The sequence below is a fragment of the Homo sapiens genome, chromosome 14 (assembly GCF_000001405.40).
Source record: "Homo sapiens chromosome 14, GRCh38.p14 Primary Assembly".
NCBI classification, from domain to species: domain Eukaryota; kingdom Metazoa; phylum Chordata; class Mammalia; order Primates; family Hominidae; genus Homo; species Homo sapiens.
In genome coordinates, this window is record NC_000014.9 from 76,016,610 (window position 1) to 76,042,019 (window position 25,410).

At 40.1% G+C, this 25,410-nt stretch overlaps 1 protein-coding gene across 5 annotated transcripts in view; it reads left to right on the plus strand.

Annotated features, from left to right (window-relative positions):
- Positions 1-25,410, plus strand: part of IFT43 (intraflagellar transport 43) — a 98,311-nt gene that overhangs the window by 30,847 nt on the left and 42,054 nt on the right. For all 5 annotated transcript variants that reach the window (NR_045665.2, NR_045664.2, NM_001102564.3 and 2 more), the window contains exon 3: positions 5,718-5,785. Coding sequence is in view for 3 of the 5 variants with exons in the window: in NM_001102564.3 (NP_001096034.1) it covers positions 5,718-5,785 (68 nt within the window). In the remaining 2 variants the exon portion in view is untranslated. The remainder of the gene's footprint in view (positions 1-5,717; positions 5,786-25,410) is intronic.

Sequence of the window (25,410 nt, forward strand, 5' to 3'; positions counted from 1 at the left end):
GATAGAATTGTATTGAACCTGTAGATTCCTTTGGGTAGTACAGTCATTCTAACAATATTAATTCTTCTGATCCATAAGCATGGGATGTCTATTTGTTTATGTCTTCTTCAATTTCTTTCGTTAGTGTTCTGTAATTTTCGTTGTAGAAGTCTTTCACCTTCTTGGATAAATGTATTCCTAAGTATTTTTTTTGTAGCTATTATAAATGGGATTGCTTTCCTGATTTATTTTTCAACTAGTTTGTTATTGGTGTGTAAAAACACTACTGATTTTTGTGTGTTGATTTCGTATCCTGCAACTTCACTGAATTCATTTATTCATTCTAAGAATTTTTTGATGCAATCTTTAGGTTTTTGTATTTATAAGATCATATCATCTGCAAAGAGGGACAATTTCACTTCCTGTCTAATTTGGAAGAGTTTTATTTCTTTCTCTTGACTGATTACTCTGGCTAGAACTTCCAGGACTATGTTAAATAAAAGTGGTGAAAGTGGACATCCTTGTCTTGTTCCAGTTCTTAGAGGAAAAATGTTCAGCTTTTCTCCATTAAGTACGATGTTAGCTGTGGGTTTGTCGTATGTGGCCTTTATTAAGTTGAGGACTGATTTGTTCCTTCTGTGCCTGATTTGCTGAGAATTTTTATTATGAAGGGATGTTCAATCATATCAAATGCTTTTTCTGCATCTATTAAGATGATAATGTGGTTTTTATCCCTCATTCTATTGGTGTTATATATCAGATTTATTGATTTGCTTGTGTTGAACCCTCCTTGCATCCCTGGGATAAATCCCAGTTGATCATGGTGTATTATCTTTTTGATGTGTTGTTGGATTCAGTTTGCTCGTATTTTGTTGGGGATTTTTGCATCCTATGTTCATCAGGGATGTTGGCCTATAGTTGTTGTTGTTGTGGTGGTTGTGTCCTTATCTGGTTTTGGTGTCAGAGTAATACTGGCTTTGTAGATGAGTTAGGAAGAATTTCCTCCCATTCAATTTTTGGGAATAGACTGAGAAAAATTGGTGTTTGTTCTTTTAAGTTTGGTAGAATTCAATAGTAAAGCTATCTAGTCTTGGGCTTTTCTTTGTTGGGAGGCTTTTTATTACTGATTCAATCTCATTACTTGTTAGTGGTCTGTTCAGGTTTTCTATTTCTTCCTGGTTCAATCTTGGTAGGTTGTACGTGTCCAGGAATTTGTCCATTTCCTCTAGGATTTCCAATTTATTAGTATATACTTGTTCATAATAGTCTCTTATGATCCTTTGTATTTCTGTGGTATCAGTTGTAATGTCTCTTTTCTCATTTATGATTTTATTTATTTGGGTCTTCTCTCTTTTTTCTTGGTTGGTCTAGCTAGCAGTTTACTAATTTTGTTTATCTTTTCAAAAAACTATCTTTTGTTTCATTGATCGTTTGTATTTTTTTAAGTCTCTATTTTGTTTAGTTCTGCTCTGATTTTATTATTTCTTTCCTTCTAGTGATTTGGGGTTTAGCTGGTTCCTGCATTTCTAGTTCCCTGAGGTGTGTTGTTAGCTTGTTCATTCAGAATCTTTCCTTTTTTTTTTTGATGTAGGTATTCATTGCTATACTTCCCTCTTGGCTCTGCTTTTGCTGTATCCCATAGGTTTTTGTATGTTGTGTTTCTGTTTTCATTTGTTTCAAGAAATTTTTTAATTTTCTTCTTAATTTCTTCATTGATCCAGTGGTTGTTCAGGAGCATGTTGTTTAATTTCTATGTATTTGTACAGTTTCCATAATTCCTCTTGTTATTGATTTCTAGTTTTATTCCATTGTCATCTGAAAGATACTTGATATGATTTTGGTTTTTAAAAATTTCTTGACATTTGTTTTGTGGCCTAACATATGGTCTATTCTGGAGAATGTTCCACGTGCTGATGAGAAGAATGTGTGTTCTGCGGCTATTGGATGAAATGTTTAGTAAATGTCTGTTAGTTTCATTTGGTTTAAAGTGCAGTTTAAATTCCCAGTTTTCTTTATTGGTTTTCTGTCTAGATGATCTCTCCAGTGCTGACAGTTGGATGTTGAAGTCACCAACTATTATTGTATTGGAGTCTATTTAGATCTAATAATATTTGCTTTTTATTATCTGGAGGCTCCAGTGTTGGGTACATATATATTTAGAACTGTTATATTGATCCCCTTATCATTATAGAATGACCTTCTTTACAGTTTTTGACTTAAAGTCTGTGTTATCTCATGTAAGTATAGCTTCTCCTGCTTGCTTTGGGTTCTTATTTGCAGGAATTTTTTTCCATCCCTTCACTTTTAGTCTATGTGTGTCTTTATAAGTGAAGTAAGTTTCTTATAGGCAGCAAATAGTGATGCTTTTTAATTTAGCCAGCCAGTTTAGTGAGGAGTTTAATCCATTTACATTCAAGGTTATTATTGATGGCTAAGGACTTATTTCTGCCATTTTATTAATTGTTTTCTGGTTGTTTTATATATCCTTTTTTCCTTACTTCCTCTTTTAAGTTTTATCATTGCAGTTTGATGGTTTTCTGAAGTGGTAATGTTTGAATTCTTTCTCTTTCCCATTTGTGTATCTGTTCTACTAGTGAGTTTTATACTGTCTTGTGTTTTCATGATGGTATATATTGTTCTTTCACTTCCATATGTAGGACTCCCTTAATAATTTATTGAAAGGCTTGTCAGTGGTGATGAATTCCCTCTGGTTTTGCTTATCTGGGAAGGACTTTATTTCTCCTTCATTTTTGAATAATAGCTTTGCTGGGTATAGTAATCATAGCTGCCTTTTTTTTTTTCCCTTTCAGCACTTTGAATATATCATCCCAAACTTTCCTGGCCCGTAAGGTTTCTGCTGGGAATTCCCTTTTATGTGACTTGACACTTTCCTCCTGTTGTTTTTTTGAATTTTATCTTTGTCTTTGACTTGACATTTTGATTATAATGTGCCTTGGAGAAGATCTTTTTGAGGTGAATCTATTTTGAGACCTTCAAGCTTCCTGTATCTGAATATCTATATCTCTTTCAAGACTTGAGAAGTTTTCAGCTATTATTGCATTAATAGGTTTTCAATACCTTTGCCCATCTCTTCTTCTGAGACTTCAAAAATTTTAATACTTGTTTTCTTTATGGTGTTGCATATGTCAAGTAGGCTTCCTTTATTCTTTTTTCTTTTTTGTCTGAGTTATTTCAAAAGACCTGTCCTCAAGTTCTGAAATTCTTTTTCTCCTGCTTGATCTAGTTTATTATTGAAGCTCTTGATTGTATTTTTTCTTTCTTTCATTGACTTCTTCAGTTCCAGGATTTCTATTTGGTTCTTTTTTATGATGTTTATCTCTTTATTGACTTTCCCATTCAGATCATGAATCATTTTTCTGATTTGTTTGTACTCTTTTTTTTTTGGAGACGGAATCTCTCCCTGTTGCCAGGCTGGAGTATAGTGGCGCAATCTCAGCTCACTGCAACCTCTGACTTCCTGGTTCAAGTGATTCTCCTGCCTCAGCCTCCTGAGTAGCTAGGATTACAGGCATGCGCCACCACGCCCAGCTAATTTTTGTATTTTTAGTATAGATGGGGTTTCACCATGTTGGCCAGGATGGTCTCTATCTCCTGACCTTGTGATCTGCCCGTCTTGGCCTCCCAAAGTGCTGAGATTATAGGCATGAGCCACCGCACCCGGCCTTCTTTGTACTCTTTATCTGTGTTCTCTCATACCTCACTGAGTTTCTTTAATATCATTGTTTTGAATTCTTTTTTATCCATTTCATGGATTGTCTTTTCATTGGGATCTGTTACTGGAGAATTATTGTGTTCCTTTAAAGGTGTCATGTTTCCTTGCTTTTTCATGTTTCCTGTGTTCTTACATTGATATCTGTGTATCTGGTGTAATAGTTGCATCTTCCAGTCTTATGGATTGACTTCCATAAGAAAAGACTTCCCTATAGATGTATCTATGGTGTTGGTAGGGTGGGGTGCTTTGGCTTTGATTCTGGGTGGGTGCAGTGATGTAGTTTTTATATATCTTCAGCTGTAATCAGCATCAGTGGGTATCTATGGGTTCTTTAGTGGCTTAGGCTATAGTTGTTATTGGAGGCTGTGACAAGGCTTTATTGCAAATGGGGATACCAAGTGGGCTGGTCCTTAGGCACCAGTGGTAGTGGTGGCAAGCCAGGTATGCTAGTCCCTGGGCCCCCCAGGTGGTGTACATGGGTTCTGGTGATGGTGGATCTGGGCAGGTCAGTCCTTAGGCCTCCAGTGCCTTGCTCAGGTGCCGGGGGTGGCAGTGGTGGGCCAGGTGAGCCAGTCCCCAGGTAGTGCATGTGGGTGGGTGGTGGCTGCAAGCTGGGTAGACTGGCCATCAGGCTTTTGGGAGACATACATGGACACTGGTGGCAGGCAGGGTAGGCCTATTCCCAGGCTCGCAGACTATGCATGGGTGGCAGACAGGGCAGAACGGTCCTTTAGACCCCAGAAAATGTGCACCAGTGGTGGTGGGCAGGGTGGATCCATCCTATGCCCCTGGGTCATGTGTGTGCTGGCAGTGGTGGTGGTGGGTGGGGTCAGCCTATCCTCAGGCCCCTAGATGGCATACATGGGTGCTAGTGGTGGTGGGGGTTGGAGGCAAGTCAATCCCCAAGCCTCTTAGACACTGTACTCGGTCACTGGCAGCAGTGGCAGGGGTTGGTGTAGGCCTCTTGAGTAGATTTTTAATCCACCCACCAATTTAGTTTATCTCTTCTAAGCAAGTCTCACTCTTATATCTTTATTTTATTACTTTTCGGTTTATAAAAAGCAGAAGAGGAAAGGAAAATTAAAATTGCCTATAATGGAGTCCCCTGTCAGTCATGTACATATAACTCATTAACACTAAATAGTATATGTTGATAATCATTTCAAAAAATGCATCAAAAGCATATACTTACTGTTTGGTAACATGTTTTTGAAACTTAAAATGTATCAAACTTTCTTATATCATTGGGTTTTCTTATAACATGGCTTTTTGTTATTTGCATAGTATTTTCATGTGTATTTTACCATTTACTTAATTCCTTATTGCTAGCAATTTTGGTTGTTTCTAGCTATTCACTACTCAAAAATAACATTATATTCCTCTCTGATTTTTCCCTTGGGATCAATTTCTAGGATTAGAATTGCTAGGTTAAAAAGTATGAGCATTTTTAAGGCTTTCAATAAACTTTACCAAATAGCCCTCCAGAAACATGGTGCCAATTTATGACTCACCGGGAGGGTATGAAGGAACCCAGATTTTCATAGTAAATTACAAAGGTTACTGTATTTTTATTCAAAAGGTAGGCTGAATATTGATTGGTGTAGGTGACCTTACCCTCAGCCATTGTGGTGTTTAAACACAAATGTTGGTTGGGCGCGGTGGCTCACGCCTGTAATCCCAGCACTTTGGGAGGCCCAGGTGGGCGGATCACTTGAGGTCAGGAGTTTGAGACCAGCCTGGCCAACATGGTGAAACCCTGTCTCTACTAAAAATACAAAAATTAGCTGTGCGTGGTGGTGGGCGCCTATAATCCCAGCTACTCAGGAGGCTAAGGCAGGAGAATCGCTTGAACCCAGGAGGCGGAGGTTCCAGTGAGCTGAGGTCGCACCACTGCACTCCAGCCTGGGTGACAGAGTGAGATTTCATCTCAAAAAATAGAAAATAAAAAATAAAATAAATGCAAATGTTGAGTGAATGTGTTCTTTTGACTTCTCTTTCCTTGTAGACTTCCTCTGCTAAATTACCTCGCTGCCGACAGGGAGGCTGGGCAGGTGATTCCGTGAAGGCTTCGAAGTGAGTACCAGCAGCTCATAAGAGTATGGGTGGGGGTGCACACGGTTGGGGGGACTTTGCTCCTGTGTTGTTTTATTTTTTACAATAGCTTTATTGAGAAAAAATTTATATACCATACAATTCACCCACTTAAAATGCACAATTTAATCATTCTTAATATATTCACAGAGTTGTGCAACCATTAACACAATCAATTTTACAACATTTTCATCACCTCCCCACCAAAAGAAACCCTGTATCTATTAGCAGCCACTTCCCATGTCCCCCCAACCTCTCTAGATCTAGGTGGTTACCAGTCAACTTTCTCTCTCTCTGATTTGCATATTCTGGACATTTCATGTAAATACAATCTACATTATGTGGTCCTTTATGGCTGGCTTCTCTCACTTGTCATAATGTTTTCAAAGTTTATCCATGTTGTAGCATTCTGTGTTCTTCTTAATTTCCAAAACATAATGGAATTGCCTGTTGGTAACTGCTGATGAACTGTGCGGCATGTCCTCCCCTGACATATATCAGTCATCATTCATAAAGGGGAACAATACAGATGTCCCATCACCCTGCCTAGTTGGTATCTTGTGTTTACTGTAAGCTGGCATGAATATTTATACCATAACCATCTGACATTATCTCATCAGCCTCTCCAGAGCTCCTGGGAAGGCTGGGAAACCTGATGTCACAGTGCATGTAGCAGCACTTTATAAACTGCATAGTGTTCAGTGTGGGGCTGTAGATGGCAGATGCCATTCTCTCTGAGCTGGATGATGTTGGGTAAGATGTTTACCATGGCTGAGCACCTGGATGGACACATTGATGATCCCTACAGGGTGATTCAAAGACTGAAGGAAATTACATATGTAACAGGAATGTTGCTGTTGTGTTTAGCCCTCCCAGCCTTTCCACAGCTTAGACTAGATGCTGATCCCTGTGGTTCCATATTGAGGGGCGGCAGAGTGTGGTGACAGCCGCAGGTACTGGAGCCAGCTGCCTGGCTTTGAATCCTAACTGTGCCATTTATTATCTCAGAGACCCCAAGCAAGTAATTTAATATCTCTGGTCTCCATTTCTGTATCTCTACAATGGGGTTAAAAATAGTTCTTACTTGAAAGGATCATTGTGAGGATTAAATGAATTCGTATGTGTAAAATATTTAGAAGAGAGATGCATTTAGGAAGCACTTGTAGATGTTGGCTATTATCATGATGATGATGACTGTTTCTTATCCCCATTCTGTCCTCATAGATAGGCTTTGACCATATTCTTCTCACAGGCATTCTGGCAGGTGGTGATGTTTGTGAGTTGCAGGAGCTTTGGGATCTTTATGGTGCCATAAATGCTTCATATGAAGGGTCGGTTTGGGAGAAGTAATTCCAGATCAAGAAAAGCAATGGTTATTTTGATTATGAAGAATCTTCTTTAATTGTGAACTACATTAAAGCCTTAAGCATAGGAATGTCAGCTTTCCAAAGCTGTAGTATCAGAAGTATTTTTTAAACCTTATGATGTTAAGAATTAGCCAGGGGTGTTCAAGAGAGAGAATACAGACACAGATTCTTAGTTTCTGTTTCTGGTTGGGCCAGTAAAACCCCTTCTTCATTCCTCTTTTCTGCTTATCACTAGAGACAGAAACTAAAAACTACGGGTTCAGGCTGCTAAAAGCCTAAAATAAAACAAAGCAGAACAACAACAAAATAAGGCAAGTTGGACAAGTTTGAATTAGACATAATCAATGATTGATATCCCCTTGGATTTCTGCCAGCATCTGGGAATGCACATGACCTAGAACAGAAATCTCTGTGAGATCTTCGGCCATCCAGGATAAGCATCCACATCTCAGGGATGGTTTCAGAATTACCTTGTTTTAAATAAGGAGAAAGTATTCCTCAGACTTCTTCCTACGACATACTCTCTCGCATTTCTTCCATGCTTAAACTGGCAGAATTTTCATGCTAAGGTGTGGTAATTAAGTCATCTCTTGTTTTACTTACAGGAAGCAACATCACAATAAGATTAAAACCATGGGTGTCTGATTCAGACATACCAGGGTTTGAATTCAGATTTCAGCATTTAACTGGCTATGTAAACCTGGGGAAGTTACTTAACCCTGTAAAGTGGCAATAATAACGCCTATTGCAAAGAATTGTTCTGAGTCTTGAACACATAGGAAGAGTACTCAGCATAAAGCTAGTACATAGCTTGTTGCTGCAATTAAGTTATGAATAACAACAGTGCATAAGGAGTAAAGTAATAAGGCAGGTCTCTCTGAGTTTTATGGTTCTAAAACAAAGTGTTAGGTAACACGTGTTCTGTAAATGGCATCTATAGTAGGATGGTGCTGGCTGTCACCTTCAGCCACATTTGTTAGCCTCTGTAGCTGTCAGCACCTTCCAGATGCTTTAAACAGGCTTTGATTATAGTTAGTCTTTGTGATTCTTGAAGTTTGATTCATTGCTTAAATATAGTTATTCTAGGCCAGCCTGACAGAGAATATGATAATAAGACTGAGACATTTTGCTAGCCTTTACCTTTGGTCTCATTTTATGGATGAAATAAGTGGAGTCATAGATGCCTGTAAGTCAGAAGGAGCAAGTGCTTAATGTCTTTTATTTTAGTTCAGAGTCCAGTTCTAAAGACTGGATTACAAATCATTTCATTCCTTAATCTCTTGCACCAAGTCTTAGATGAAAGATAAAAAAAATATATATACCAGTGGGATGGCCAGTGATCGAATTTAACTACTTAAGATATACACAGGAATAGTTTCTCAAAGAATAGTCATTATTCTAGTTTAGAATTTCCTTGAGCAGTTGTTGCCTTCAAAATGGCATATCTTGAAAGATCTCTATGAGGAGAACTACAAAACACTTTTCAAAGAAGTCAGAGATGATACAAACAAATGGAGGAATAGTCCATTTTCATGGACTCAATATTGAGTCCATTCATGAAGACTCAATATTGTTAAAATGACCATACAGGCAAAAGCAACTTATAGATTCAACGCTATTTCTATTAAACTACCATTGACATTCTTCACAGAACTAGAAAAAACTATTTTAAAATTTATATGGAACAAAAAAGGGCCCAAATAGCCAAGGCAATCCTAAGCAAACTAAAACAAAAACAAAAAAACCTGGAGGCATCACACTACCCAACTTCAAACTATACTACAGGGCTACAGTAACCAAAACGGCATGGTACTGGTACAAAAAGAGACACATAGACCAATAGAACAGAATAGAGAACCCAGAAATAAGACCATATACCTGCAACTATCTTCAAACCTGACAAAAACAAGCAATGGGGGAAGGATTCCTTATTCAATAAATGGTGTTGAGATAACTGGCTAGTCATAAGCAGAAGATTGAAACTGGACCCTTTCTTTACACTATGTACAAAAATTAACTCAATATGGATAAAAGACTTAAATGTAAAACCCAAAAATATAAAAACTCTGGAAGACAACCTAGGCAATACCATTCTGGACATAGGATTGGGCAAAGATTTCATGATGAAGACACCAAAAGCAATCGTAACAAAAGCAAAAATTGACAAATGGGATCTAATTAAAGTAAAGCACTTCTGCACAGCAAAGGAAACTGTCAACAGAGTGAGCAGACAACCTAGAGAATGGGAGAAAACTTTTGCAAACTATGCATCTGACAAAAGTGTAGTATCTAGCATCTATAAAGAACTTAAATTTACAAGAAAAAAAAATCCCACTAAAAAATGGGCAAAGGATGAACAAACACTTTGTAAAAGAAAGACATACATGCAGCCAACAAGCTCAACATCACTGATCATTAGAGAAATGCAAATCAAAACCACAATGAGATACCATCTTGCACCAGTCAGAATGGCAGTTATTAAAAAGTCAAAAAATACGGCCAGGTGTGGTGGCTCACGCCTGTAATCCCAGCACTTTGGGAGGCCAAGGTGGGTGAATCACCTGAGGTCGGGAGTTTGAGACCAGCCTGACCGACATGGAGAATCCCCATCTCTACTAAAAATACGAAATTAGTGGGGCATGGTGGCACGTGTCTGTAATCCCAGCTACTCAGGAGACCAAGGCAGTAGAATTGCTTGAACCTGGGAGGCAGAGGTTGCAGTGAGCTGAGATTGTGCCATTGCACTCCAGCCTGGGCAACAAGAGTGAAACTCAAAAAAAAAAAAAAAAAAAGTCAAAAAATAACAGATGCTGGTGAGGTTGCGGAGAAAAAGGAACGATTATACAGTGTTAGCGTGAGTGTAAATTAGTTCAGTCATTGTGGAAGACAGTGTGGTGATTCTTCAAAGACCTAGAGACAGAAATACCATTTCACCCAGCAATCCCATTACTGGGTATATACCCAAAATAATATATCATTTTATTATAAAGATACATGTATGTGTATGTTCATTGCAGCACTATTTGCAATAGCAAAGACATGGAATCAACCTTAATGTTCATCAATGGTAGACTGGGTAAAGAAAATGTTGTACATATACACCATGGAATAGTATGTAGCCAAAAAAAAGAACAAGATCATGTCCTTTGCAGGAACATGGATGGAGCTGCAGGCCACTATCCTTAGCAAACTAATGTAGGAACAGAAAACCAAACACTGTATGTTCTCACTTATAAGTGGAAGCTAAATGATGAGAACCCATGGACACATAGAGGAGAACAACACACATTGGGGCCTTTTGAAAGGTGGAGGGTGGGAGGTCGGAAAGGATCAGGAAAAATAACTACTGGGTACTAGGCTTAATGTCAGGGTGATGAAATAATTTGTACAACAAACCCCTGTGACACAAGTTTACCTGTATAACAAACCTGCACATGTACACCTGAACTTAAAAGTTAAATTAAAAAAAACCAAAATACCATTATTAAAAATATTTACTTCCAATTTTTTCCACCCTCTCCTCCCACTTTTTTCTCCCTCCCCCTTCCCCAACACCCCCCACACACACACTTTTTCCCAAACCTGAAAATAAGTTGTAGATGTCATGACATTTCACCCCTAAATACTTTAGCATGCATCTCTCAAGATTAATGACATTCTCGGCCGGGCGCAGTGGCTCACGCACTTTGGGAGGCCGAGGCGGGTGGATCACGAGGTCAGGAGATCGAGACCATCCTGGCTAACACAGTGAAACCCCGTCTCTACTAAAAATGCAAAAAATTAGCTAGGTGTGGTGGCGGGTGCCTGTAGTCCCAGCTACTCGGGAGGCTGAGGCAGGAGAATGGTGTGAACCCGGGAAGTGGAGCTTGCAGTGAGCCGAGATTGTGCCACTGCGCTCCAGCCTGGGCAACAGAGTGAGACTGTCTCAAAAAAAAAAAAAAAAAAGATTCATGACATTCTCTACAGTATCACAGTATCACTCAGTCACTCATACCTAAGACATTTCATAGTGGTTTAATAATATTTAATATATAGTTTATATTTGAATATTCCCCTTTGTTGTTCCCCCAGATGTCTTTTATAACTCCAGGATCCAATCAGCTCAAATATTGTGTTTCGTAGTTGTCTTTTTAGTCTCTCTTGATGTAAACTAGTCCTCACCTTTCCCCATTCCCCACCAAGACATTGACTATTTTGAGGAATCCAGGCCAGTTGTGTTGTAGAATGTCTCACATTCTGGGTTTCTCTAACTGATTCTTCATGATAAGATTCAAGTTAAAGGTTGTTGACCAGAACAGGTGATCATGTGTCCTTAGCTTATCAAATTAGGAGGCATGTGACATCAGCTGATCCCTTGGTTGGCATTACAAAGTTTTATCACTTGGTCTAGGTGGTGACCACTAGATCTCTCCATTGCAAAGGTTCTTTTTTTCCTTTATAAATAATTAGTAATTGGGGTACCGCTTTGAATCCTGTTCACCCACAGTCTTTCACCTGGTTTTAGCGTCCATTAATGGATCCTTGCCTGAATCAGTTATTATATCAGGGATTGCAAAATTTTAACTCTCTAATTCTACCATTCTATATTAATTGCTTGGAGTTTTCCTATAAAGAAGAATTTACTCTCTCTCCTTTTTCTTTTTCTATTGCTTTCTGTCTTTAAAATCATGGACTCATGGATTTTAAAAAAATCTGTTTTATTTTAGATTCAGGAGATATATGCGCAGGTTTGTTACAGGGGTATGTTGCATGATGCTGAGGTTTGAGCTTCTATTGATCCTGTCACTCAGACAGTGAGCACAGTACCCAATAGGAAGCTTTTCAGTCCTCGCCCGCAACCCCTTTTGGAGTCCCCATTGTCTGTTGTTCCCTCCTCTATGTCTATATGTGCCCAGGATTTAGCTCCTACTTATAAGTGAGACCTCTAATATTTGGTTTTCTGTTTCTGCATTTGTTTGCTTAGGATAATGGCCTCCAGCTATATCCATATTGCTGCAAAGGATTTGATTTCATTCTTTTAAATGGTTGCATAGTATTCTATGGTATATATATATATCACATTTTCTTCATCCAGTCCACCATTGATGGACACCTAGTTTGATTCCATGTCTTTCCTCTTGTGAACAGTGCTACAATGAATATACGTTTGCAAGTGTCTTTTTGATAGAATGATTTATTTTCCTTTGGGTATGTATATACCACCCAGTGATGGGATTGCCGGGTCAAATGGTAGTTCTATTTTCAGTTCTTTGAGAAATCTCCAAACTGCTTTCCACAGTGGCTAAACTAATTTACATTCCCACCAACAGTGTGTAAGCATTCCTTTTTTTCAGAAGCCTCACCAACATCTGTTATTTTTTGACTTTTTAACAATAGCCATTCTGACAGGTATGAGATGGTATCTCATTGTGGCTTCAATTTGCATTTCTCTGATAGTGATGTTAAGCATTTATTCATATGTTTGTTGGCTGCTTGTATGTCTTCTTTTGAGAAGTGTCTGTTCATGGCCTTTGCCCACTTTTTAATGGGGTTATTTTTTTCTTGTTGATTTGTTTAACTTCCTTATAGATTTTGGATATTAGTCCTTTGTCAGATGCATAGTTTGCAAAAATTTTCTCCCATTCTTAGGTTATTTGTTTACCCTGTTGATAGTTTCTCTTGCTGTGCAGAAGCTTGTTAATTTAATTAGATCCCACTTGTCAATTTTTCCTTTTGTCACAGTTGCTTTTGAGGACTTGGTTATAAATTCTTTGCCAAAGCTGACATCCAGAAGGATATTTCCTAGGCTTTCTTCTAGGATTTTTATAGTTCGAGATCTTACATTTAAGTCGTTGATCCATCTTGAGTTAATTTTTCTTATATAGTGATAGGAAGGGGTCCAGTTTCATTCTTTTACATATGGTTAGCTAGTTTTCCCAGCACCATTTATTGAATAGGATGTCCTTTCCCTGTTGCTTATTTTTGTTGACTTTGCCACAGATTGGTTGGTTGAAGGTATGCTGTTCTAGTTCTAGATATTCTGTTCTGTTCCATTGGCCTCTGTGCCTATTTTTGTACTTTTTTTATTTTTATTTTTATTTTATTTTATTTTATTTTATTTTATTTTATTTTATTTTATTTGAGACAGGATCTTTCTCTGTTGCCCAGGCTGGAGTGCAGTGGTGCAATCATAGTTCACTGTAACCCAGACTCCTGGGCTCAAGTGATTCTCCTGCTTCAGCCTCCCCAGTAGCTAGGACTGCAGGCATGCACCACAATGCCTGGCTAATTTTTTTAAATTCTTATTTTTGTAGAGCTGTGGTCTCACTGTGTTGCTGAGGCTGGTCTCAAACTCCTGGCAATCGTCCTACTTTGGCCTCCCCAAGTGCTGAGATTATAGCCATGAACTATTGCACCCAGCTGGACTCATGGATTTGTATTGTTCATTGTGTTATAATTCATTTCCATCATCACAGTTTTTTTTTCTATAATACTAATGATTATTAGTGCTCAGATTGTCCCATGTTTGGCCAGGGAGAACTTTGAGATGGCTCTTATGCTTTTGTGCTTTATTAGTATTAGAGTACGTGCTTGCTTTTCAACGCAGCAAGATATTCCAGAATAAATTTGTATTTTCCATGTTTAGTCCAGGAGTCAGCTACTTCTCCAAGGACTCCTGGGTCCTTTTGGTGGAGAATAGTTATAGAATTCACGGTCTATATACACACTGCCCATTGCTATTGGATATCTTTGCTTCTAGGCTCTTTTAGTAGGTAGAACTAGGAAACACATTTTAAAAAATACGCTCTATCCTGTAACACACATAAAGTAGTTTTACAGTTACTATACTAATGTCATTATCAAAAACAAACTTCCTAAGTAAAACTCAAGATTTCTTTGTGGTTCTTTTTGTCCTTAGAATATATCACACTAAGGTTCAGGATACTGTTTTCGGAAGTTATTTGAATTATTTCTCATACAGGTTAAGATATCAATTTAATACACAATTACATTCACTTGTTTCTGTCTGTGTTCAATTTTAAGGTTTTTAAAAATCCTTTTTATTCAATTTACTTTTGAATATGTAGAACATTTACACCAATCAATAGTTAAAATTGTATAGAAAGATGTATTCAGTGATGTCTCACTCCCATCCTTATCATCCTCTCCACCTCATTCCCGTCCATCCCATATAGGCAGTTTCTTTATTAGTTTCTGGTTTATCTTTCCTATACTTCTTTTTGGAAAAGTAAACATATGTGTATATATATATAATTATATATACATACATAAAAATTATATAATTTATATAATATACATATATAAATTATATATGTATATATAAGTTTTTATATTTCTCCTCCTTTGTTTCTATATCCTAGGTGTCAGTGAACTATGGCCCACAGGCCAGCTGCCTATTTTTATAAAGTTTTATTGGAATACAGCCACACCCTTTCATTTTAAAAATTGAGATTGCTGATCCACGTGGAATTTATTTTGGTGTATGGTTTTACTTTTTTCTAAATGGCTATTGTCCCAGCACCACTTATTTAAAAATCCATCTTTCTCTAGTGATTTGAGAAGCCACCTTTATCGTATTCTAAATCTTTGTACTTACCCGAGTCTGCTTTTGGATGCGTTATTCTGTGCCAGTGGTGTCTCTATTCCTAGGCTATTATGTAGCATGCTGTTTTACTTATAGACCATAACAATCATTTTTAGTGTTAAGCGAAAACAAGAAGGTGACGCAGAAATGCAGGTCTCATCTACTAATGTGAATCTTATGGAGGAGCTTTGTTTTCCTAAATTATTAGGGGATTTTAGTACTTGTCATATCTGGAATTTATTTTGAAATAAGAAAATAAGACAAATCCTGTCTGCTTCTTAGAGAACAAAAGATTATCACAAGTATTCATTCCTCAGTGAAAATATTAAAGATTTTTCCAGATCAAATCCATTTCCTCTTGGAGAAAGAAGCTTTTCCTTGTCACCTGTTACTTTCTGAGGTATTCACTTGCTTGGCTTTTCAGTCTGTGGCCTGGTTCTGACCCCTCGAAATGTTGGAGTGCCCAGGGCTCTTCCTCTAACCTTCTCTCTTCTCTGTCAACACTCACTTTCTGCATGATCTCAACCCAGTCTCAGGTTTGACTATCGTCTACGCAGTGATGACTCCAGAATTTATGTTTATATTTCCAGCCCAGTTCTCCTCCTGGACAGCCATTTGCCTGCTTGATGTTTTCAACTGGAATATGCAACACAAACCTGACACATCCAAATTAGTCTTCTAATTTCAACCCCTTCTACCCCCTCCCCTAATCGTGCCTCCAAAGTCATCCCTAGATCTCGGTAAGTGGTGACTCTTATCTTCCTAATTGCTCAGATTGTAAACTTTGGAATTATCCTGGCCTCCTCTCTTTATATCACCCTATTCAGTCTGCCAGCAAACCCTGTTAGGTCTACTGTTGAAATACATCTGTTGTCTGAACTGCCAGCACCTGGCTGCAGCCACCATCATTTCTTGCACTGGCTCAAGTGAGAACTTCCTGACGAGGCTCCCTCTGTGTTATCTCTGCATAACCAGAGTGACTCTTTTAAAACATCAGTGCAAACCTTTTACTTGTATACTCAGAACCCTGCAGTAGCATGCCAACCAGTCAAAGTAAAACCCAAAGTCCTTACCATGGCTTACAAGGTCCTACCTTACCTCACTTTACATAAAGTAGCACCCCTCATCGCTCTGTGGTCCCCATTGCCTGCTTTATTTACTGCCACCTGACATATCCACATGCATGCATACATATTCTCTTTTTCTATCTGCTGCAATGTAAGCTCTATGAGAGGAGACACACTCTCTTATTTACATACCCCCAGTCTCCTGCACAGTGCCTAGTCCATAATAAGCACTCGGTGACTATTTATTGAACATATGAATGATCAGATCAGTATTTTTAAACGGTCACTTTACTTTCGGTGTGGAAGGTGGAGAGCTGAAAGGCTGGAAGACCTGTTGGGATAAGAGCCTAAACCAGGGCCATGTTGTGAGGATGGAAAGGAAAGATGATGTGGAGACATTTTGGAGGTAGAGTTAATAGAAATACCAGTGGTTGGATGTGCGGCAGAGGGAGGAGTTGAAGGTCACTGCAAGGAGCCCCACTTAGGTGTCTGGTTGGGTCATGGTGCTATAAGAGAGGGAAGGCAGGAGGGACCTGATTTAGGAGCTGATGGTGGGACATGTGGGTAATTTCCATAGCTCAAGAGTCTAAAAGTGAGGTCAAAAAAGAGATGCACTTTGAGTCATCTACAAAAGTAGGAGAAGACAAGGACAGATCATTGGATTTGGCTATTTGGAGGTTACAAGGGGCCTTTGAGAAAGTGGTTACAGTCATTTGCATTGGAGCCCCAGCCAGATTGCAGTAGACTGAAGAGGAAGTGGGACATGAGGAAGTGGCCAGTAATATAGGATACTATGAAAAAAGGAAAGGGATGGAACAGTATTTGGAAGAAGAGTCTAGATTAAGAATCATGTCTGCAATATTCGAGGAAAGAGTAATTAGAAATGAAGTAGGGGGTTAACTGATGTAGCAGGATACTGGAGGGATAGAATAAGACCTTCCAGGAGAGATTGATTGACCTTGGACAGGAGGAAGTAGGGCGGATAGTTTTCCTCCAAAACAGACGGAGCTTGGAAAGGCTGGGTAAGTTATTGAGGAGGGTTGAGGGGAATGGGGACTTTAGAGAATTTCCTTTTGGTTTGGCTTCTTTTTTTTTCCATTCTTCAAAGTGGGAAGACAGACTGACTGTTGAGATTGTTGAGGCAAAGGAGAGTGGCATCTTGAAGTCAAGTAGAGCAGATTTAAAACAGAAAAAGAGGCTGATGAGGGGTAAGAGAGGCAACTTTCGAGCTTTGAGGACCTACCTCATTAAGGTTGGAAACATGAGCTCCTACCATTTGCTGGATACTCTAGTGAGTACCAGAGTGGAAGATATACTTCCTGTCCCGCAAGAGCTCAAATTCTAATTTAGGAGACATTTTCATCCACAAAAATCAGGAATGGCAAAAGGAGCATATTGGCAGAAGGTGCACATAGTAAGTGAGGAACAAATGAATGAGTAACACTGGTGATGGGATATCAGAAGAGAGAGTAATCATTATGGTCAGGGAGTGTCTTATAGCGGAGATAGGAGTCAAGCTGGATGAATTTTGATGGTCAGAACAGGATCATGAAGAAGGCATTTTGGTTTAAGATCTGGTGTTGTGAGAGTGATAGTAACTTTATTGTCAGTCTAGTTACAGCAGAGAATTGACCCCGGAAAATAGCGTATTCACCTTAAATTCTTTTTGGGTGATAATAACAATGGCATTGTGCTAGATACTTGTCTTAATTTGGCTGCTATAACAAGTTACCGTATATGGGGAGGTTTAAACAACAAACCTTTATTTCTCATGATTCTGGAGGCTGGAAATCTGAGATCAGGGTGCCATTGTGGTTGGGTTCTTGGTGAGGACCATTTTCCTAGTTACGTCCTTAAGTGTCTTTTCTTGGTATGTGCATGTAAGGAGTGAGATTTTATGTCTCTTCCTTGTCCCCATCATGAGGGCTCCACCCTCATAATCTCATCTAAACCTAATCAGCTCTGAAAGTCCCACCTCCAACCACCATCCCATTGGGGATTAGGATTTCAACATAAGAATTTTGGGGAGACACAAATATTCAGTCCGTAGCAGCACCTTATATGTGCATTACACCAACTCTGTTGGGTAGATTCTGTTCAATAAGCTAGGTATCCCTGTGCAAAGAAGGTAGGAGGAAAGTGTCACCAGTGAGAAGTAGAAGGGCTGTTTATGAATCTGATTGAGGAGCTCATAGCTAAGGAATATGAGTTTCTGGGATACCTTGGCTTTATTTGCATAACACTGCCCAGGATAGAGAACAGAACATGTGTCAGCCACCTCACTGGCTAGATATGTTGGGTGCCAGGGCTCCATTGCTCATCCTTGAGCCACAGAAAGGGCCAAGTTCAGGAATTGCCTGGGGCCTGGGATCACTACCAGTCCCTTCCCCTTGGCGTCAGAGTCATAGCTATGCCAGAGATTCCATCTTGGAGCTGTCCTTGGCTCTGAAGTTGCCCGAGGTAGGACACTTATGGTGGGTCACTGACTTCGCCATGGGGAATAGAGCTGAAGAGAGAAAGCCAACTTGGTAAAGAGAGGAAGGAAAGGTAGTTTGATTAAGTTTTGTCTCAAAGTGTCTGTTTTTGGGTTTGTCCCTGCATTGATCTGCAAGGGAATGAGGCAAGTAATGGCCCCTCAGGGACTTTCAGGACTTTGCTCTCAATGTCAGCCGTCATTTTCAATCACCCTCTCCCTCCCAGCCATTAATTTTGGCCCAGGATCATGGGGACTTGTCCATCTATCACTCCTAATTGACACTAAATGATCTGTCAGTTTATTGATGAACGGCAGGAGTGGAATTGTCACAATATATTTTACTTTCTAACAACTCCTCCTGACAATTTTACCTTGTCCATCTCACTCTCCTCACATAAATCTCCATTGGCTGCTCATTCCTTCTCATGGGCTGTTCTGGTGCCAGCCACTTCCACACCATCTGCACGCATCAAGGACATTAAGATGGCGGTAGAACTGCTGTGTGCTGGTCCCGAGGTTATCCCCCTTCCCTCCTCCTTCTCTCTTTCTCTCTCTCTCTTTTTTAATGGCATTGATGTTCCAAGGATACTAAAGGGCTTCTGTCCTCTCCCTTTATGTCATTGCCATACCAGAATCTTTTTGCTTCCCTTTAGCAGCAAGTAGTTGATTCCTATTAGGCTAAAAAGTGTGAAAAGCAAAAACTCATGGAGCCAGAGGGCTCCTAGATCTGTAAGCACAGTTGCAAACATACGTTCTGTCCTTTTAAACCGGCTCTGTTATAGGCTGTCCATCCCCATAGAAGTCAATTTCCCAGAAAGGTGTCACAGAGGGAAGGTTAGCTGGAGCTGCCCAGCTGGTGTGCCATGTGCTGCACTGTGGGTGCCAGTGTGCCATGATGTGGGCACACCCTGCCTGTGGGGTAGACCTAGCCAAGGCCCCTAGGCTGGTCACCTGTGGCCATGAGAAGTCTCATCTGTCCACCCATTTGTGTGTTATTTTTAATTGCTTCATGTCTTGAAAAAGACAGGGAAGTACTATGTCAGACATATATAAGGGCACACAGTTATTTAGTCTCAAGAAGATATACCTATGGATGTGAACACGCTTTATCCTATATGAGGCCAAGGATGAGTAGAAAAGCTTGACGATATATAAATAATAAATAATGCAATTGATTCCCTTCCTCATACCTTTCCTGCTGCTGCTGGAGATAATTTTTATTAATTGATAAGGACTGTTTTTGTTTGTTAACCATCATGACATTAGGATGCATATCAAAATTAATAATTCCTTAATGTCATCTGATATCCAGGTCATATTGAGTTACTTCCATTGTCTCAAAAATGTGTTTTATAGGTGGATTGTAAACAGAACAAATCAAGGTCCATATATTGTATTTAGCCATTTCCTTCCTTCCTTCCTTCCTTCTTTCCTTCCTTCCTTTTTTTTGTTTGTTTGTTCGTTCGTTTGTTCTTTTGTTCTTTCGTTCTTTCTGTCTTTCTTTTTTTTTTTTTTTTTGGTGGAGTCTCACTCTCTTGCCCAGCCTATAATGCAGTGGTGTGATCTCGGCTCACTGAGTCTCCGCCACCCAGGTTCAAGCAATTCTCCCACCTCAGCCTCCCAAGTAGCTGAAACTACAGGCGCGCGCCACCACACCTGGCTTATTTTTGTATTTTTAGTAGAGACAAGGTTTTGCCATGCTGGCCAAGCTGGTCTTGAACTCCTGACCTCAGGTGATCCTCCTGTCTCGGCCTCCCAAAGTGCTGGGATTACAGGCGTGAGCCACCATGCCTGGCCTAGTTGTTATATTTCTATAGTCTCTATTTTATTCTGCAACAATCACCACCCCCCTATGTTTTCCCAATGCCATTGATCTTCTCTTCCTCCCTCCCTTCCTTCCTTCCCTCCCTCTGTCCCTCCCTCCCTCCTTCTTTTTTAGAAACAGGATCTTGCTCTGTTGCTCAGGCTAGAGTGCAGTGGCACGATCATAGCTCACTGCAACCTTGAACTCCTAGGCTCAAGTGATACTCCTGCCCCAGCCTCCCGATTAGCTAGGACAGGTGCACGCCACCATGCCTGGCTAAATGTTTAAAAATTTTTTGGAGAGACAAGGTCTTGCTGTGTTGCCCAGGTGGCCATGATGATTTCCTTTTTTAAAGAAACTTGTCCTGTAGAATTTCCCACATTCTGGATGTGGTCTGTTGCTTCCTAGTCATGGTGTTTAACTTGTTTCTCTGTCCCTCATATTCCCTGTTAAACTGATAGTTAGGTGTAGCTCTAACTGGGAGTTCCATTTAGGCCCAGTTTTGGCAGGAATACTTTGTAGGTGATGCCGTGTACATCCCACTGTATTGCCTTGAAGGCACAGGTATGAGAAGGCACAGGTGTCCGGTCATTCCACTTTCAGCCTGTGATTGACCAGTGGGGGCAGGGCTGTGTGAGTCTCCACTTTATAGCGCCCATCAGACTCCCCTCTCATGGTTGTAGCATCCATTGCTCATAGTTGCTAGAGCCATGATTTCATTAAAGGTTGTCAAGTGATGACTGTCTAATTTCCATTTATTAACAGAAATTCTTCTGTAATGAACTCTTACCAGCTACTTGGCTGCTTGAAATACATTTTATACTTGTAACCCTACCTTTTTCTCTTAGTATTTTTATTTTAAAAAATTTCAAACCTATAGAAAAGTTGCAGTATTAGTACAGCAAACACCCATGCACACTTTTACCTTGAACAACCAGTTGTTAATATTTGCCTAAATGTGGCTTTTCCCTCATTCTCTGTTTTTTTTTTTTTAATTTTATTGAACTGATTAAGAGCTGCAGCTGCCTTTGCCTTTGCATTACTATTAATAGTAACAAGCGAGTGGTTACTATGCAAGAGATATTTGTCTATTTTGTTTGCATCTGGGTCTGTAGGGCTTGGAACACATAGGTGCTCCATACATATTTGATCAATGAGTAAATTTGGGGCATTTCTTACAGAGCTCTAATAATTGAAAAGGGTGTCCCTGGTAGGACGAGGCAGCTCTGATTTCCAGTAAAGTAAAAGGACTTAATCCTTGACCTTCAGATTTTCATTGGTAAACACAATTTTGCTCATTTGGTTTTCAAGAAACACAAAACAAAATTAGAAGTATTGAGAATTGATTTTTCCCTTGCTACCCTTAGCCGCAAAGAACCCGGAATCAGTATGGCATGACCGGAGTCCTGGGCAACGTGGGTTCTTAACTGTCAGTCAGGTACCAGAAATGAGTGTCCAATATTGGGTAAAATCAGATGGGGCTGTTGCATGTGAGATGGTTGAGAAGGGAAGGTCTTAGGAAGCTAATTGTGCTCGCATTTCCAGTGGCTGTGCCTAGAGTTTAGAGGCTATGTCTCTATTTCTGTGGTTTTTGGAGATGCTCGTGTGAACTCTCTGCTTGGATCTCTGTCTCAATTTCACCGTCATGCATTTTGCCCTGCATAGATGCTTTTCTTTCACGTGCCTTCCAAGATATGGTCAGTTTAGAAAGGATGGCTTTAGGACCATGTGACATCATATCTTTTTAATGTACATCTTAGATTTGTTTATTCTAGGTAGGCTCCCCAAAGTGTAATTTTTTGCTTTGCTCTCAGAGCCTGGACAGAAAGATGATAGAGGAAGAGCTAGATAAGTTTTTATTTTCATGAACTTAGAGAATCCACAGTTATTTTGAAAAATTGGGATTCAGTTGCATTGTTTATTATAGGAAATCATAGATGTTCAGCAAGATTTGAAGATGAATAGCCCCCCAGACTGTGTACATCGAAATAACTAGGGAAAAATAATTATCCCCATTGAAGTAGGGAAAAGTGTGAGATGTGTCACACTCATGCTATCTTTAGTCCTTTCCTATCTTCACACATTTGTATTATTTTGGTAGATTTCATTTGTTCTGGTAGCTGGCGGGTGGGGAGGAATGAGAATAATGGATGGGTCATGGTGGAACAGCTCATCTGTGGAGCCTGTTCCCTGTTAAACTGATAGTTAGACCTCGCTCTAACTGGTGGTCGCATTTGGGCCTGGTGTCCTTTCCTACTTAGCCCCTGAAATGTGTACAGTGAGGTGGGTACTTCCTGAAAGTCACTGTTCATGGGCACAGATGTAAAAGTAAGCATTTGTTCATTCTGTGGACCCTTGTCCAGCACAGGCACGCAGGTCTAATGTTAGACACAACCCCTTTTTGTAATGGTATGTTGCATTTTTTTTTTTTTCTTTTTTTAGACAGGGTCTCATTCTGTTGCCCAGGTTGGAGGGTGGGGATGTGATCATAGTTCACTGTAATCTCAAACTCCTGAGCTCAAGCTGTCCTCCGGCCTCAGCCTCCTCAGTAGCTGGGACTACAGGTACTCCTGCGTAGTTGAGACTACAGGCGTGTGCCACCATACTCGCCACGTTTTTAAATTTTTTGTAGAGATGAAGTCTTGCTATGTCACTGAGGCTGGTTTTGAATTCCTGATCTCACGCAATCCTCCTGCCTTGGTCTCCCAAAAGTGCTGGGATTACAGGTGTGAATCATTGTGCCTGGCCTGCCTTTTTGTGGAGTGAAGTGTCTTTGACCTTAAAGCTCAAATGTAACTAAGTTGAGAAAGGTGGATCATTTCAAGAGGGCTGGAAGAGAGAAAGGGAGTGGGATGTGGAGACAGTATACATTTTTAGATTTTAGTCTTTGTATAACATCGTGTCTTCTTTTGAGACATTAGAACTACTGGTGAATTTTATTTATTTATTTTTAAATAAAAAAGAAACATAGTATAGAATTCAAAAGATATGAAAGAGTGGGATATGAAACCTGAGTCTCTCTCTCCCTTCCTGACTTTCTCAGGCACCCAGTTTCCTCTCCTGGAGGCAACCACTTTTAACCAGTTTTTTTCGTGTTTCTCTCCAAAGGTACTCTATGCAGGTTAATATATTCTCCTCACCCACCTACAGACACAAATGGGAACATATGCATTCTGCACTTTTAAAAAAATCTCTAACAATATTTCTTGCTGATCTTTCTGAATCTCAGTACAGAGTAGAAGAGCTTCTTTTCTTTTTTACAAAAGGGTCTCACTCTGTCACCCAGGCTGGAGTGAGGTGGCGTGATCATGGGTCACTGCAGCCTTGACCTCCCAGCCTCAAGCAATCCTCCCATCTCAGCCTCTTGAGTAGCTGGGACTGCAGGTGTGTGTCACCACACCCAGCTAATTTTTTATTTTTTTTTGTGGAGACAGGGTCTCACTATGTTGCCCAGGCTGGTTTTGAACTCCTGGGCTCAAGCCAGTACTTTGGCCTCTCAAAGTACTGGGATTACAGGTGTGAGTCACTGTGCCTGGCTGAACAGCCTTATTTTTAAGGGCTACAGAGTACTCCAAAATTTCCTGTCTCAGTAAAAGTAATGATAGGCAGGCAATACATGTGATATTTTCCCAGACTGAAAAAACCAGACTTCTATTGTGTATTCATGTGATAGTATAACATCACCCTTGGAAAGTATTGTGAAGGCTTTAGATATGGTACACATAGATCCCATAGGCTAGGGAAGAGGTATGAAGGTGCATCAGCCTTTTTCTCATTGAGGATTTGGGTGAGCACTTTCATGCACTTCTACTTGGGTTGATATAGTGACATTTGGTGCAGAGCAAGCAGAGATGTTCTAGGTTATGTTCATTGCAGTTTAAGGCCTCGGATGGCTAGTGACCAGTGTCACACAGCCCATTTACTTAGGCAAATGACTAAGCATGAAATCTCTGGACTCTTGCACTTCTGTTGAGTGCTTCCCATTCAAAGGGGACAGCAGTGTGTCCCCACAAGCCCTGCTGCAGCAGCATTTGGATACTTTGCTTCCCACTCTGAAAAGCGGAGCAGTCCTCCTGACAAGTGACCCCAGTCAGTTCTCTCCCTGGAGCAGAGGGGAGCACCCGATCCCCTAGGGAGGTGGCTGGAGAACAGGTGGGGACTCGAGATGAACTTGCTGCCTGTGCATGTGTGCCAGGGAAAGGACAGCTGAGACCCTGAGGCCACACATTGTCCAATTGCTGTACCTCTAAGGGCCCAAGTCAGCAGAACTGTTTCCCAACTGCCTGTGGGCTGGCCTTGCAGGGAAGGCTGTCAAAAGATGGCCAAGTGCAGGCACAAGCCTTACCTCCCTGAGAGCCTGCTCCCACCTTCCTCTCTGGCCTTCAGCTTTTCTTAAGTGAAGCTACCCTTGACCTTTGTTGTAATTAAAACCAAGAGTGGTTCTAGAATGGGTTCTCAGGATGTCCTGTGAAGGCTTTGACTTTTGGCCCTTTACAGTTCTAGTTTTGCAGAAATGAAAATGCTCTGGTGACTACAGCAGGTCAATTATTGGAGCCAAGAGTAGTATTGTAAAGTTGGAGGGTCTTAGAAGGTCAGGAAAGAAATGAGTGGCCCATGGAAGTGTCCCTTAAATGATAACAGCCAAAAGCACAGCCACCTATGGAATATTCCTTTGTTTTTCTGGACTGGTAGAAAGTGCAGGGCTTGCAAGAGTAGAAAGTTAGAGCCAGTCTCATCCAATGTCCTGTGAAATTCTAGTGTTTCTGTTAAGTGCTTGCCAGGGTCTTCTTGAACCCCTCCAGCTGGGGAACTTGGTAGAAACAGCCCCACTGATTCTGTTTTTTAATAAAGTCCTTTTTAGTTGTACAAGCAAACTGGTAGCTCTTTAATGACGTAAAAATTCAAACAAGACAGATAAAGCTAAATATGCCTAAAACTACTATTTACTCTGATCCTAGCCATCTCTCTAGAAGTAATTACTGGAATAGTTTGTTGGTATCTTTTACCCACTTCAATACGTGTATGTACAAAAGTCTGTGTTTTTTTTTTATGTAAACAGATCACATTAAGTGCCTTCTGCATCTTACATTCTTTTTTATCTTTGCAGTAAGTACATCCTAGAGATGTTTTAGTACACGTAGATTTACTGCAGTTTTCTTACTGCTCCATGATAATCCCGTGGTACAGATGCACTATTCCCCTGTTGGTGGACATTTAGGTTCTTTCTTTCTATTTTTGCCATTATCTGTCCCCTGAGTTTTTTTAGACAGCTCTAGACTTTAGGAAATTTGCACCTTCATCCTCAGAA